Raw genomic sequence first — 15,352 nt, 5'->3', positions numbered from 1 at the left:
TCTTTCAGCTTCATAATCATTTAATATCATGTTATGTGATCCATATGTTGTGATACATAACATGTAGTAATTTACACTTAGACATAACTTCCTATTTAAAGTACTACGACAGATTTATTCCTACACTTCCCTTTTAAAAACTGATGGAAGTTTTATAGTTTTATTATCAAGCTTTTTCCAACCAGGAGAGAACCATGTTGGCTAGTCATTAATAAGAACCAAATCCTTACCTTAACAATTTCACAGCTGATTACTTCCCACATGCCCGGGTATAACTCTAGGCATTTCAAACCTCTTTTCTCTTTCACTACTGCTGTGGTCTGAATGTTTCTCTCCACATAAAATGTATGCGTTGAAACCTAATCACCAGTGTGGTGGTGTTAGGAGGTAGGGCCTCTGGGAGGTGATTAGGTCATCAGCAGGAACCCTCCCTCATGAATAGGATTAGTGCCCTCGGAAAAGAGGCTCCAGAGAGCTGCCTTGCCCCTTCTTCCATGTGAGAACAGAGCAATAAGGCACCATCTATGGACCAAAAAGTGGGCCTACCCCAAACACTGAATCTGCCGGCACCTTGATCTTGGAATTCCCAGCCTACAGCACTGTGAAAAATAAATTCCTGTTGTTTATTAGCCACCCAGTTTGTGGTATTTTGTTATAGCAGCCTGAACAGACTGAGACAATGACCCACATACTTTGTGGGAAAAGACCTGTAGGACACTTTCTCTTTTTGAGATGGAGTCTCGCTCTGTCATCCAGGCTGGAATGCAGTGGCACCATCTCGGCTCACTGCAACCTCCACCTCCCAGGTTCAAGCGACTCTACTGCCTCAGCCTCCCGAGTAGCTGGGATTACAGGCGCCCGCCACCACACCTGGCTAATTTTTGTATTTTTAGTAGAGATGGGGTTTCACCATGTTGTCCAGGCTGGTCTTGAACTCCTGACCTCAGGTGATCCACTCATCTCAGCCTCCCAAAGTGCTGGGATTACAGGTGTGAGCCACCATGCCAGGCCAGACACTTTCATACCATGATATGTCTTCTGGCCCTACACTTTCAGTTCAAAACTCCTGGTAAGTCATCACACTGGGGTAGAAATATTCCTGGAAGCTATTCCTACACCAAGAAGTCTATGAATAACAGCCCGGCGCTGTGGCTCACGCCAGTAATCCCAGCACTTTGGCAGGCCGAAGCTGACAGATCATGAGGTCAGGAGTTCAAGACCAACCTGACCAATATGATGAAACCCCATCTCTACCAAAAATACAAAAATTAGCCGGGTGTGGTGACAGGCGCCTGTAGTCCCAGCTACTTGGGAGGCTGAGGCAGAAGAATAGCTTGAACCCGGGAGGCAGAGGTTGCAGTGAGCCGAGATTGTGCCAGTGCACTCCAGCCTGGGTGACAGAGTGAGACTCTGTCTCAAAAAAAAAAAAAAGTCTATCAATAACTTAAGTATATATGGCTTAAGTATATATGTGGGTTAAGTGCCTTCGACCCACATAAATAGAAGAAATAAGCCCAAACTAAATGCAATATCAACTCCATTTCCCCATAGTGGAATCCCAAAATGCCTATGCCTATTTCACTGCTACTATGCAAGAAGCGAAGTGTATCAGAGGGACAGTTGGAGGTTCTCAAGAGCTGATTGTTAAATATTCCAGTATTTTGTAATCTCCATGTTAAACTGTTGGTAGCTTGAAATCAGTCATGGTGGGAATATTTACACCCTGGAAATTGGCAAGTGGTACAAATCAGAGCTTTTTATTTTTTTAAGGTTTACCAGCAAACCACCAAGTGGAAAGTAGTCATATCTGATTGCAGCTAAAATATCTTACTTTTGTAGATCTACCATTTGATCCAGCAATCCCACTCCTGGGTATCTACCCAGAGGAAAAGAAGTCATTATACATGATAGATACTTGCACGCGCATGTTTACAGCAGCACAATTTATAATTGCAAATATATGGAACCAGCCCAAATGCCCATTAATCAACAAGTAGGTTAAAAAAAGTGAGATATGTGTATATATACATATGTGTGTGTGTATATATCTCACACACACACACACACACACACACACACACACACACACCATGGAATACTACTCAGCAGTAAAAAGGAATGAAATAAAGACATTCGCAGCAACCTGGATGGAATTGGAGACCATTATTCTAAGTGAAGTAACTCAGGAATGGAAAGCCAAACATTGTGTGTTACTCGTAAGTGGGAACTAAGCTACAAGTATCCGAAGGCATACGAATGATACAATGGACTCATTGTATCATAAGAATGATACAATGGGGACTCTGGGAAAGGTGAGAAGGAGGTGAGGGATAAAAGACTACACATTGGGTACAGTGTACACTGCTCAGGTGATAGGTGCAACAAAATCTCAGAAATCACCACTAAAGAACTCATTCACATAAACAATTAATTAAGTAATAATATTAATAAAAAGGATTGGGGTAGATTAGATGGGAATGAAGGAGGGAGCCAGGGTTGTTTTAGAATAAATGGAGCAAATAAATATGACAAATACTATCTTAAAATAAACAAATAAATAAAATGAAATATCTTACTTTTGCAAATGTTTACAAAAACATAAAACCATTGCTAGAACATCTCCCAGAGCCTTGCAAGTGGCCAATATGCAAATGAGAGGCCCTGGAGATTAAGTTTCAGCAGCTTTACTGTAAACCTACCTCTGTTATCTAATCATGCAAAAAAATCATAATTTGTCTTAAACTTCCTCTCTCCTGTCCAGGACCAGTTTTGCAAGTTTAAAGGTTTTTTTTTAACTTATAAACAAAGTAAAGCAAACTGAGACTGAGATACTATGTTCCACCATTTTCCCCCTTTTTATCTGTACATTTCTCTATATATAAATGTTATCCATTGCTGGTAAGCTTACAGTGTTGAGGCACAACTCATTTATTACAGGTGGCAGTGTAAGTTGGCACAATCTTTTGGAAAATAATATTGCAATATGTGACAAGTACCGTAAACATACTTGTATCTTTCAACCCTTTATTTCCACAGGTAAAAGTTTAATAAGAAATAATAGAAACAAAAAATGCAAAGACGTTAATGGCTGCTGTTTTCCATTAGCAAAAAGTTGGGACCTAAAAGTCCACATCATAACAAAGGTTTAATGTTGTGACATCAAAAAGATAAAATGATTAGAAAGACTCAAAATATGAAAAATGTTTATGATATTTCAGAAAGTGAAAACCACAGAGGGCAAAGTGATACATACCCACACTTATTTGCAATGATATATCAAACAGTTATTTACCTGAAAGCAATATGCAAAATGGAGTATATTTTGCCAGGATGATAGAATTATAGACTCTTTTTGTTTATAATTTGTCCTCTTTAATATTATATTGGAAGGATTAAAGACTCAGGTAGAGTCAGACTTAGGGTTTGATTCTTAGACTTCTACTTTTATGTGAATCACCACACTGTCTTCCACAATGGTGGAACTAATTTACAGCCATAAAAAAGAAACCAGGTGCAGTGGCTCACGCCTGTATTCCAAACACTTTGGGAGGCCACTCTGGGTGGGCAGATCACCTGAGGTCAGGAGTTCGAGATCAGCCTGGCCAACATGGCAAAACCCCATCTCTACTAAAAATACAAAAATTAGCCAGGCATGGTGGCGGGCACCTATAATCCTAGCTACTCAGGAGGCTGAACCAGGAGAGTCACTTCAACCCAGGAGGCAGAGGTTGCAGTGAGCCGAGATCGCACCACTGCACTCCAGCCTGGGCGACAGAGCACGACTCTGTCTCAAAAAAAAAAAAAAAAAAAAGAATGAGATCACGTCTGCAGCAACATGGATGGAGTTGGAAGCCATTATCCTAAGCGAACTAACATAGGAACAGAAAACCAAATACCACATGTTCTCACTTATAAGTGGGAGGTAAACATTGAGTACAAATGGACACAAAGAAGGGAACAACAGTTACTGGCACCAACTGAGGGTGGGGTGTGGTAGAGGGTGAGGATCAAAAACTACCTATGAAGTACTATGCTTATTACCTGGATGATGAAATAATCTGTACACCAAGCCCCCGTGACATGCTACTTACCCATATAACAAATCTGCACATGTACCTGAACCTAAAAGTTAAAAAAAAAAAAAAAAAGTATTCTGGTAGATCTGAAAGGGGACTCTTTTTTGCCTTTCTGCTTTTTCTCTTTTCTCTTTCTTCCTGCAACACAGATGTGATGGTTTAAGCTCCAGCAGCCGTCTTGTATCACGAGATAACTGTGGAAATGAAAGTCCCCACAGTGAGATGGTGGAACAGAATAAGAGCCTGGGTCCCTAACATCCATTAAGTCACCATACCATCCCTGAGCTGTCTACCCCCAGACTTCTACATGAGAGAAAAGTAAACATCTGTCATATTTAAAGCCACTGTTTTTTATTTTTTCTATTGTATTCAGTAGACCTAATTCTATAAATTATACTTTATTTATGAAGAAATGGAAACTCAAAAAGTAAGTAGCAGATGGAGATCAAGCCTCTTATTTGTCTAACTCCAAAGCAGGAACTTTTTTTTTCCATTGTCTGTCTCTGATGAATGAGTATTGTATCTTTTTTTTTTTTTTTTTTGAGACAGAGTCTTGCTCTGTTGCCCAGGCTGGAGTGCAGTGGTGCGATTTCGGCTCACTGCAGCCTCTGCCTCCCAGGTTCAAGCAATTCTCCTGTCTTAGCCTCCCAAGTAGGTGGGATTACAGGCGTGCACCACCATGCCTGGCTAATTTTTTTTGTATTTTTAGTAGAGATGGGGTTTCACCATGGTGGCGAGGCTGGTCTCGAACTCCTGACCTCAGATGATCCACCCGCCTCAGCCTCCCAAAGTGCTGGGATTACAGGCGTGAGCCACCACGCCTGACCTAAATGAGTATCTTCTCTCAATAGCAGTAACAGTTAAACACATGAAAACGTTGACGAAAATCATTCATTTAACAAATGTTTATTGAGTGCCTACTATTTTCTGGCACTATTCAAGGCCCTAGGGATAAGACAGTGAGCAAAAACAACTTCCCTTGCAATGATTTTCTACTCGTCAAGCAATCTTGCTTCTGGTAAACTAGATTTTTTTTCCCCTAAACTGGGGGAAAACCAGCCAACTGGATTATATTCTGGCACATCTGCCAGGTGTATTTCTCATGGCAAAGCAGTAAAGTAGCACTCTGGTTTCAATATCCATGTGCGTTTGTTAGCATGAATCTGGCCTTTGAGCCTGATTGTCTGTGGGTATGAAGATCGGCTTTGTGGCCATCCAAAGATTCTGAGCCCAACGAGGTAGTGTTGTTTATATGTAGCTGTGGAGAGAGGATTGTCTGCTAGCTGAAAAGAGGCCAGCAGTGAGAGGGCCTGGATATGCTCTCAGCATCCCACAAAGATTCTGGGTAATAAGAGAAGACACGCAACTCTCCTGAAACTCAAGAGACCATCTCTGGGTGTCCTAAGGAAATCCAGTCAATACCCACAACACTGAAGACAGGACCTTGGACCCTGGGACCGAGGAGGGTAACCCAAAGAAGCTTTCCCTAGAACCAGCCAGCACTTGGCACTCCCAGACCCCAATCTCACAGACACACCTTCCCTACTCAGGGGACCTCCTTATGAGGATTGACCTTCAAAAATACATCTCTGGGCTGTGCGTGGCAGCTCACATCTGTAATCCCAGCAATTTGAGAAGCCGAGGCCGGTGGATCACCTGAAGTCAGGAGTTTGAGACTAGCCTGGCCAACCTGGTGAAACCCTGTCTCTACTAAAAATACAAAAATTAGCTGAGCGTGGTGGCACACACCCCAGCTACTGGGGAGGCTGAGGCAGGAAAATTGCTTGAACCCAGGAGGTGGAGGTTGCAGTGAGCCGAGATCGCACCACTGTACTCCAGCCTGGGCGACAGAGCAAGACTCCATCTCAAAAATAATAAAAATAATAATAATACAAAAGATCCCACCCCTGTCATTAAGCATCTATCATCAATAGAAATCACAGTCTGACAGCATCTCTGTGGTTTGGATTTAGGGAATCAATTTTTGTTGTTTTGGAGACAACGCTCACTCCATCACCCAGACTGGACTGCAGTGATGCAATCATAGCGCACTACAGCCTCGACTTCCTGGGCTCAAGTGATCCTCCCACCTCAGCGTCCTGATTGACTAGAACCACAGGTGTGTGCCACCGTGCCTGGCTAATTTTTAAATTTTTCACAGAGATGGGGGCCTCACTTTTGTTGCCCAGGCTGGTCTCAAACTCCTGGCCTCAAGGAGTTTAATACTGAAACTGTTGGGATTACAGGCATGAGCCACTGCACCTGGCCAGAAAGTTATTTTAGTTCAAGCAGTCATCAATTGTTGCTTCATCATATTGCCCTCCTCGTTCCTTCAATAGTAAAGACAACTTATATTTCATTTCCCTTAGTCCCTAACTACTTATTGAATAATTCCTACCACTAAGACAAGTTTGCTCAATTAGTTATTAGTAGTTCAAGCACATTGAGAGTTTGTTTTACAATCGCCTGCTTTATTTATTTATTTATTTATTTTATTTTTTTAAGAGACAGAGTCTGCCTCTTGGTTACTCTATTGCCCAAGCTGGAGTGTAGCAGTACAATCATAACTCACTGCAGCCTCAAACTCCTGGATTCAACCAATTCTTTGACCACAGCCTCCCAAGTAGCTGGGACTACAGGAATGTGCCACTATGCCTGGCTAATTTTTAAATTTTTTATGGAGACGAGGTCTTGCTATGTTGCCCAGGCTAGTCTTGAACTCCTGGCCTAAAGTGATCCTCCCACCTCAGCCTCCCAAAAGACTGGGATTATAGGCATGAGCCACTATCCCTGGCATGTGCTTATTGGTCATTTGTAACTGCTTTTGCTTCACTGAGGTTATTCTCTCTCCTTCCTTTTGTTTCTTTTCATTTCTTTTCTTTCTTTTTCATGGAGTTTCACTCTTGTTGCCCAGGCTGGAGTGCAATGGTGCGATCTTGGCTCACTGCCACCTTTGCCTCCCAGGTTCAAGCGATTCCCCTGCCTCAGCCTCCCAAGTAGCTGGGATTACAAGTTTGTCTCACCATGCCCGGCTAATTTTGTATTTTTAGTAGAGGCAGGGTTTCACCATGTTGGCCAGGCTGGTCTCGAACTCCTGACCTCAGGTGATCCACCAGCCCCGGCCTCCCAAAGTGCTGGGATTACAGGCATAAGACACCATGCCCAGCCCTGTTCTATTTCTTTTTACCTCTCTTTTTCCACTTCTCTGGTTTTAATGGAGCAGTTTATATGACTCCATTTTATCTCATCTCTTAGCATATTATATATGCCTCTTTTTAGTTGCCCTGTGGTTTACAATATACATTTAAAAAATAATCTGAGTCCACTTCTAAATTAGCACCATAGTGCAGGTACCTTTTAACTGACTATTCCCAATTCCTCCCTCCCATCCCTTGTGACGTTACTGTCATTCATTTCACTTATCCATATGCCATATGCTATAATCAGCCAATACATTTTTACTATTTTGCTTTAAACAGTTATCTTTTAGGTCAATTAAGAATAAGAAAAATAGAAGATTTTATTTTACCTTCATTTATCTCTTCTCTGACGTGCTCCTTTTCTTTATGTAGATCCTAATTTCTGATTTATATCATTTTCCTTCTACCTAAAGAACTTCTTTAAACATTTGCGGAAGCCTGCTGGCAATGAATTCTCTCAGTTTTTGTTTGCCTGAGAAAAGTCTTTATTCCTCTTTCACTATTTTTTTGTGCTTTGGCCGCTTTATTTTTTAAGACCATACATATAATGAGAAGTTATTTCAAATCAGCATTTTAAAAGAAAAGAGTGACTGTATTGTAAACAGTATTTCATTTCCTACAGGAGATTAATCACTCAAAAATGGTAATTATCTAAAACACTGAAAAATTTAGCAATCGTTAAACAGGATTCAGTCTTTTGATATTAAATAGATGGACAGGATCTAAATAGCATTAGAAACAATGAAAAACTTTCATAGATGGCATAACGTTTTTTGTATTGATATTTCAAAATTCCACAAAAGATGATAAAAATGAAAACAACAAATTACACACAATTAAACTTGAAAAACATAAAAAGATTTATTACATATCCACAATAATGGGAATTAAAACAAAGATCGGTCTACATATTTTTCCACACAACATTCTTTGTTCTCTGGGCTTTATATGTCATCAAAATCAGAATAAGTGAAGTCAAGAATATTTCTGATCATTGCCAAGAATTGCTTTCAGATTTTCAATTCTCATCTTGCTTTTATTTTAAACAATTAAACAAGAATCTGTTATAGTTCTTAAATTCCACAAATTGCTTTTAAACACATCTTCCTCTTTCTCTTTGGAAGGATAATTTCCCTGGATATGGAATTCTAGGTTGGCAGGTTTTTTTCTTTCAACACTTTACAGATTTCACTCCACTGTCCTCTTGCTCGCCTAGTTTCTGATGAGAAGTCTACTAGAATTCTTATCCTCATTCTTCTATAAGTAAAGTTTTTCTTCATCCTCCAACTTCCTTCAAGATTTTCACTTTGTCTTGATTTTCTACAGTTGGAATATGATATCCCTGTTTTTTGTTTTGGTTTGGTTTTGGTATATATCCTGCTTGGTGTTCTCTGAGCTGCCTGGATCTGTGGTTTTGTGTCTATCATCTTAATGATATATTATTTGGAAAGTTCATGGCCATATCATTACTTCGAATATTTTTTTCTACCCTATTTTCTCTTTCTTCTACTGGTATTCCAATTATGCATATATTACACCTTTTGATAGTATCCTCCTGCTCCTTTCCCTGACTGCAGCACTTCCAATGCATTTTCTCAAGATGTTGCACCCTGTTGACTATGGTTATTTTCATTTTTCCTTAGGTGAGACAGGAAGACTGGAGAGGGCTGAAATTCCCTTCCCTCAAATAGAATAATGTTTCAGTATCTCCTTTTGACGAAGTCTTGCCCTCTGACAGTCTGACGGTCTTTCCCCCTGGAAGACTAGACTTTTTTTTTTTTTTGAGACAGAGTTTCACCCTTATTGCCCAGGCTGGAGTGCAGTGGCACCATCTCAGCTCACTGCAACCTCTGCCTCCTGGGTTCAAGCGATTCTCCTCCCTCAGTCTCCTGTGTAGCTGAAATTACAGGCACCCACCACTATGCCTGGCTAATTTTTTGTATTCTTAGTAGAGATGAGGTTTCACCATGTTGGCCAGATTGTTCTCAAACTCCTGACCTTAGGTGATCCACCTGCCTCAGCCTCCCAAAGTGCTGGGATTACAGGTGTGAGCCACCACGCCTGGCTGGAGAGTGGACTTTTGTGATGGAGAAGATTCTGGAAATGTTTCCCAATTGGCTACTCTTCCTCTTTTCCTGGCAGGTCCCCCTAGAAGATTGATACCATTTGGCTGTGTCCCCACCAAATCTCATCTTAAATTGTAGCTCCCATCATTCCAACGTGTTGTGAGAGGGACCTGGTGGGAGAGAATTGAATCGTGGGGGTGATTTCCCCCATACTGTTCTCATGGTAGTGAATAAGTCTCACAAGATCTGATGGTTTTATAAGGGGAAACCCCTTTTGCTTGGTTCTCATTCTCTCTTGCCTGCCACCACGTAAGATGTGACTTTGCTCCTCTGTCACCTTCTGCCATGATTGTGAGGCCTACCCAGCCATGTGAAACTATGAGTCAATTAAACCGCCTTCTTTTATAAATTACTCAGTCTCAGTTATGTCTTTATCAGCAGCGTGAGGACAGACTAATACGAAGATCTTCCTCAGATCCTCACAGTGAGAATCTGGTGGGCTTAAGCCCACCAAAATGTGCGGTCCCTCCCATGATACCAGCCTCTAGGAGTCTCTTACTCTCATGCTAATCCACATTCAGCCTCCAGCTATTAATCAAAGTTACCATCTAAGTGTCCGTACCAGTTTATGGCCCCAGCAGCTTCTGCTCCAGGTAGGCAGATCTGGACTGTGATTCTCTGTATATGCCTGTCTCTCTAGATTTGGGGATGGCAGTTTGCCCTGCTATCTCAGTTATCTTATGAGTCTAAGAAAAGTCATTAATTTTCATTCAGTTTGTCCATCTTTTTCTTGATATAAGGATGGTAGTGACAACTTCCAAACTCTTTACATGTGTGAGCTGGAACCAGAAATCTCTTGACCATCTCTTGTATATCTTCTTCTTCTTCTTCTTTTATTGGAGGGGAGGGAGCAAATAATTTTTAATTTTTTTTTTTGACAAATACACTTGAGAGTCATGCAATGCTACCAGAGCTGTATCTAATACTGGGGCACAATTCTGCACCCTCCTTCACAATCTGTCCTGTGATAGCAGAAATTTTTATCTTACCTTTATTATTTCCTATAACTTCCACATTATCTTCAAAATAAAGAAGCATTTCATCTTTTATCTGGTAAGACTTTCATTGTCAAATTACCACTGCTAGACCAGGCGCAGTGGCTCACGCCTGTAATCCCAGCACTTTGGGAGGCTGAGGTGGGTGGATCGCCTGAGGTCTGGAGTTCAAGGCCAGCCTAACCAATATGGTGAAACCCCGTCTCTACTAAAGTACAAAAGTTAGCTGGTCGTGGTGGTGGGCACCTGTGATCTCAGCTACTCAGGAGCCTGAAGCAGGAGAATCGCTTGAACCCAGGAGGCGGAGGTGGCAAGTGAGCTGAGATCGCACCATTGCACTCCAGCCTGGGCAACAAAAGTGAAATTCCATGACACACACAAAAAAAATTATCACTGCTGGGTGTACCTTCTTTCTAAGCTGTGGTTTGCCTTTCTTAACTGTAGCCATCACCACATCACCCACACCAGCAGCGGAGAGTCTGTTCAGCCATCCCTTGATTCCCTTCACTGAGAAAATACACAGATTTTTCAGCTCCTGTGTTGTCAGCACAGTTGATTCCACTCCTAACAGAAGACCCAGGGAAATCCAGAATTTCATACTGGAAGACCCATCACGTCCTCCCTTCAATATCTTAAAAGCTGGAAAAAGGCAGAAAGCTGTATACCTTTTTTGATGAAGTCTTTGTTCAAATATTTTGCCCCTTTAAAAAACTGAGTAACTTGTTTAATTATTAAATTGTGAACTTTTATACATCTGAAATAAAAATCCTGTAAAAATAAGTGTTTTGCAAATATTTTCTCCCAGTCTGTGGCTTACGCTTTTTATTTTCTTAACTGTGTCTTTGAAGAGTAAAAGTTTTTATTTTTGATGTAATTCAATGTACCCATTTTTTGTGGTTCATGTTTTTGTGTCCTATCTAAGAAATCTCTGCCTAACCCAAAGATTTTCTCCTGTTTTATACTAGATTTTTTATGGCTTTTACATTGAGGTCTATGATTCATTTCCATTTTTCTATATAATGTGAGATACAGTTCTTTTTTTTTCTTTTTTTTTTTTTTTTTTTTTTGCTTCTAGATATCCAATTGTTCTGGCATCTTTTTTATTTTTTAATTTTTATTGTGGTAAAATACATATGGCATAAAATTTATCATTGTAACTATTGTTAAGGATACAATTCAATTGCATTAAGTATATTCACAGTGTTGTGTGACCAATTTCCAGAACGCTTTTTTTTTTGAGACGGAGTCTCACACTGTCGCCCAGGCTGGAGTGCAGTGGCGAGATCTGGGCTCCCTGCAAGCTCCGCCTCCCGGGTTCACGCCGTTCTCCTGCCTCAGCCTCCCGAGTAGCTGGGACTACAGGCGCCCACCACCATGCCCGGCTAATTTTTTTGTTTTTTTAGTAGAGACGGGGTTTCACCGTGTTACCAGGATGGTCTGGATCGCCTGACCTCGTGATCCACCCGGCTCGGCCTCCCAAAGTGTTGGGATTACGGGCGTGAGCCACAGCGCCCGGCCCAGAACGCTTTTTATCTTACAAAACTCTATACCAGTTAAACAACAACTCCCCATTCCCCACTCTCTCTAGCCCCTGGCAATCATCTCTCTACTTTCTGTCTCTGTAAATTTTACTACTCCAGGTACTTCATATAAGTGGAGTCAAACTGTTTGTATTTTTGTTGTTGGCTTATTTCACTTAGCATAATATTCTCAAGGTTCATCTATGTTACAGCATGTGTCAGAATTTCTTTTCCTTTTTAAGGCCGAATAATATTCCATCGTATGTATATACCACATTTTGTTTATCCATTCATCCATCAATGGGTACTTGGGTTGTTTCTACTTCTTGGTTTTTATGAATAATGCTGCTATAAATGGTGCACTTTTTAAAAAGGCGATTGTTTTTATCATGGAAGTACCTTGGCATTTTATTGCAAATCAATCTACCACACACGTGGATCTATTTTCTGGATTTTCTATTCTGTTCCATTTACCTATCTGTCTATACTCATGGCAATATCACATTGTTTAAACTACTGAAGCCTTATAGAAGTCTTAAAATCAGGGAGTCTGAGTTCTCCAACACTGTTCTTCTTTTCGAAATTATTTTGGCCAATTTAAGTCTGCATTTTCATATAATTTTTATGATCAGTTAGTCAATTTCTACCAAAACTCTTGCGGGAATTTTGACTGGGATTACACTGAATCTATAGATGAATTTGAGGGATGTCTCAGTCCCGGCTGCTATAACAAAGTACCTTAGACTGGGTAATTTATAAATAACAGAAATTTATTGCTCACAGTTTGGGAGGCCAGGAAGTTTGAGATCAAGATGTCAGCAGATTTAGTGTCTGGTGGGGGCCTGTTTCTTATAGATGGCACTGGATGTCTAAGTGTGTTTCTCTTCTAATCACAAATTGATGCAGTTGCATTGTCCACAGTCATGAACATCTGGAGGTGAAGTTCTTAGAAATCCTTAACTTGCGGCCCCTCCAACACAACAATTTCTTCAGGATTCACATTTGAAGGTAAAGACTCTCTTTTGCCTTGGTAGATGGGAGAATGGAGAAGAGGAAAGGGGAAGGTGGGAAGATACAATGGGTTAGGCTCTCAGGTCAAGCACAGATATCTTGCATCATGCAAGGGTTGCTGGCAAATGGCAAAAAGTCACGAGAAAGATGTAAAAGCAACTACAAAATATATTATGCTCAGTTTTCTTCTAACTCAGTTTCACACCAAGCAGAAAGTGAGTTTTTCTATTAGTAAGAAAAATGTCTGCAAAGTGCCAGTGATCCATTAAAATAATTGTTGTGAGGTAGGGGAAAGAAAACAATGTCTGAGTCGCTTGGCTTATCACTCCAACAGCTCAGAGAAGTTTTGTTAATGGCCTAATGGATCAACAAACTTTAAAGACATTTATTTGCTTGGAACTGGGTTGTTTCACCAAGTTACTGCAAATAAAACTACTGTGTGTCTAAAAAGAAAACTAATAAATTCCGAACGTTGTTGTTCCCTACAATTTTTCAACGCATATATTTTTCTTTGACACTAGTTGTTCTCCAGATCCTATCTCTATCTTTAGCATTATTTATCTGCCAATAGTTCTTTCAGGAGTATCTCTTGTTGTGAAATCAGATTGTTTTTCTTTGCATTATTCTCCTATCCACTCAAAGCCATGTTGAAGAAGAAGAAAATAGGGCAATTTCAATGCCAAAATCATTTGTTCATTCACAAAATGTTTATTGAGCACTTAATATGTGCCAAGCACTGTTCTAGGCACTGGGGATATCAGCAGTGAGGCAAAGTCCCTGCCCTTACATTCTGTTGGGAGAGACAGACAATAAACCAATAAACATAATGTATTAATATTCCTTTGTAATTGGTATTCTAAAACAAAGTAAAGCAGGGTAAGGGGGAAAAGAGAGTGATGCTTTGGAGTTGGGGCATGAAATTGATCATTTAAGTCAGGGAGATATTCAATTTAACAGAACTTGATATGGTTTGGCTGTGTTCCCACCCAAATCTCATCTTGAATTTTAGCTCCTATAATTCCCAGGTGTTGTGAGAGGGACCTGGTGGGAGGTAATTGAATCATGGGGGCTGTTTCCCCCATACAGTTCTCATGGTAGTGAATAAGTCTCATGAGATCTGATGGTTTTATAAGGCGTTTCCCTTTTCGCTTGGCTCTCATTCTCTTGTCTGCTGCCATGTAAGACGTGCCTTTCTCCTTCCACTATGATTGTGAGGCCTCCCCAGTCACGTTCCACGTGAGTCCATTAAACCTCTTTTTCTTTACAAATTACCCAGTCTCAGGTATGTTTTTATCAGCAGTGTGAGAACAGACTAATATAGAACTCATATACTGATTTATAATTCCATGAAGGTGGATACTGTCGTAATTGTCTTCATTTTTCACCTGGCTTCAGGCTTGACACACAGTAGATGTTTGATAAATCCAACAGAAACAGCGATATGCAAAAATACCTACATTCTGCTTTTGAACTTGTGTATGTCTTGGCATCACGTGGATGGACTATGATTCTAGTCCCTACTTTGGAAATGCAAAATCCATACTTTGCATTCCTTCTTCAGAACTGTTGATAGTTAATTTTAGGAAATCCAAAAAAGCAAAAAGGTAGGGAGTCATCAGTAGTCACTTTCCTCCAGGCCCATGGAGCCTACCATCTCCTCATCTGTTCCTTTATTTCATCTCAGGGCTAACATCCCCAGAGCAGCCTTGGATAACGTCATCAGTCAAAGAGGAGTTTCTGCAGCCCAGTTAATCAGCAAACACACGGCAAATGATGAGAAGCAGTTACAAAATGCTTCCAGGATTCATTTATTCACATAACGATAATTTTTATTTTTATTTTATTCTTTTTTTTGAGACAGAGTCTTGCTCTGTTGTCCAGGCTGGAGTACAGTGGCATGATCTCGGCTCACTGCAATCTCCGCCTCCTGGGTTCAAGTGATTCTCCTGCCTCAGCCTCCTGAGTAGCTGGGATTATAGGTGCATGCCACCACGCCTGGCTAATTTTTGTATTTTTAGTAGAGATGTGGTTTCACCATGTTGGCCAGGCTGGTCTTGAACTCCTGAGCTCAGGTGATCTGCCCATTTTGACCTCCCAAAGTGCTAGGATTACAGGTGTGAGCCACCACGCCTGGCCGACAATAATTTTTAAAGCAACTACTCTGTACCAAGAAGTACTCTAGGGGTAGAGCAGATTATTTCACCTTAGTCCAGAATCTAGCCCTCAGCTACTTTGATGCAGAAAATCATATTGTTCATATATTCAGAGATCATCAGATTTTTAATGACAATCTACCTGTAATTATCTGTATAATTAAAATCACCAGAAAATGCTAAGTCATTCATTTCCAGAGTGATTTCAAATATCCCTAGCTGGGTTTGCCTCTAACATTTGTGGGGTCAGAGCAAGAGTATAAATGGAGGC

At 40.7% G+C, this 15,352-nt stretch overlaps 1 pseudogene, besides 1 other annotated feature; it reads right to left on the bottom strand.

The window, feature by feature from the left end:
• Nucleotides 544-1,044: an enhancer, noted in NCBI's record as "H3K27ac hESC enhancer chrX:24710004-24710504 (GRCh37/hg19 assembly coordinates)". NCBI's record gives its function as "activates a minimal SCP1, AML or CMV promoter by ChIP-STARR-seq in naive H9 embryonic stem cells {active_cell/tissue: H9 hESC(naive)}" and the evidence as "EXISTENCE:reporter gene assay evidence [ECO:0000049][PMID:30033119]".
• LOC100288233 (ribosomal protein L23 pseudogene) lies at nt 10,297-10,995 on the bottom strand (annotated as a pseudogene).

Source organism: Homo sapiens, chromosome X (assembly GCF_000001405.40).
Source record: "Homo sapiens chromosome X, GRCh38.p14 Primary Assembly".
NCBI classification, from domain to species: Eukaryota; Metazoa; Chordata; class Mammalia; order Primates; family Hominidae; genus Homo; species Homo sapiens.
This window is presented reverse-complemented; position numbering and strand designations above follow the sequence as displayed.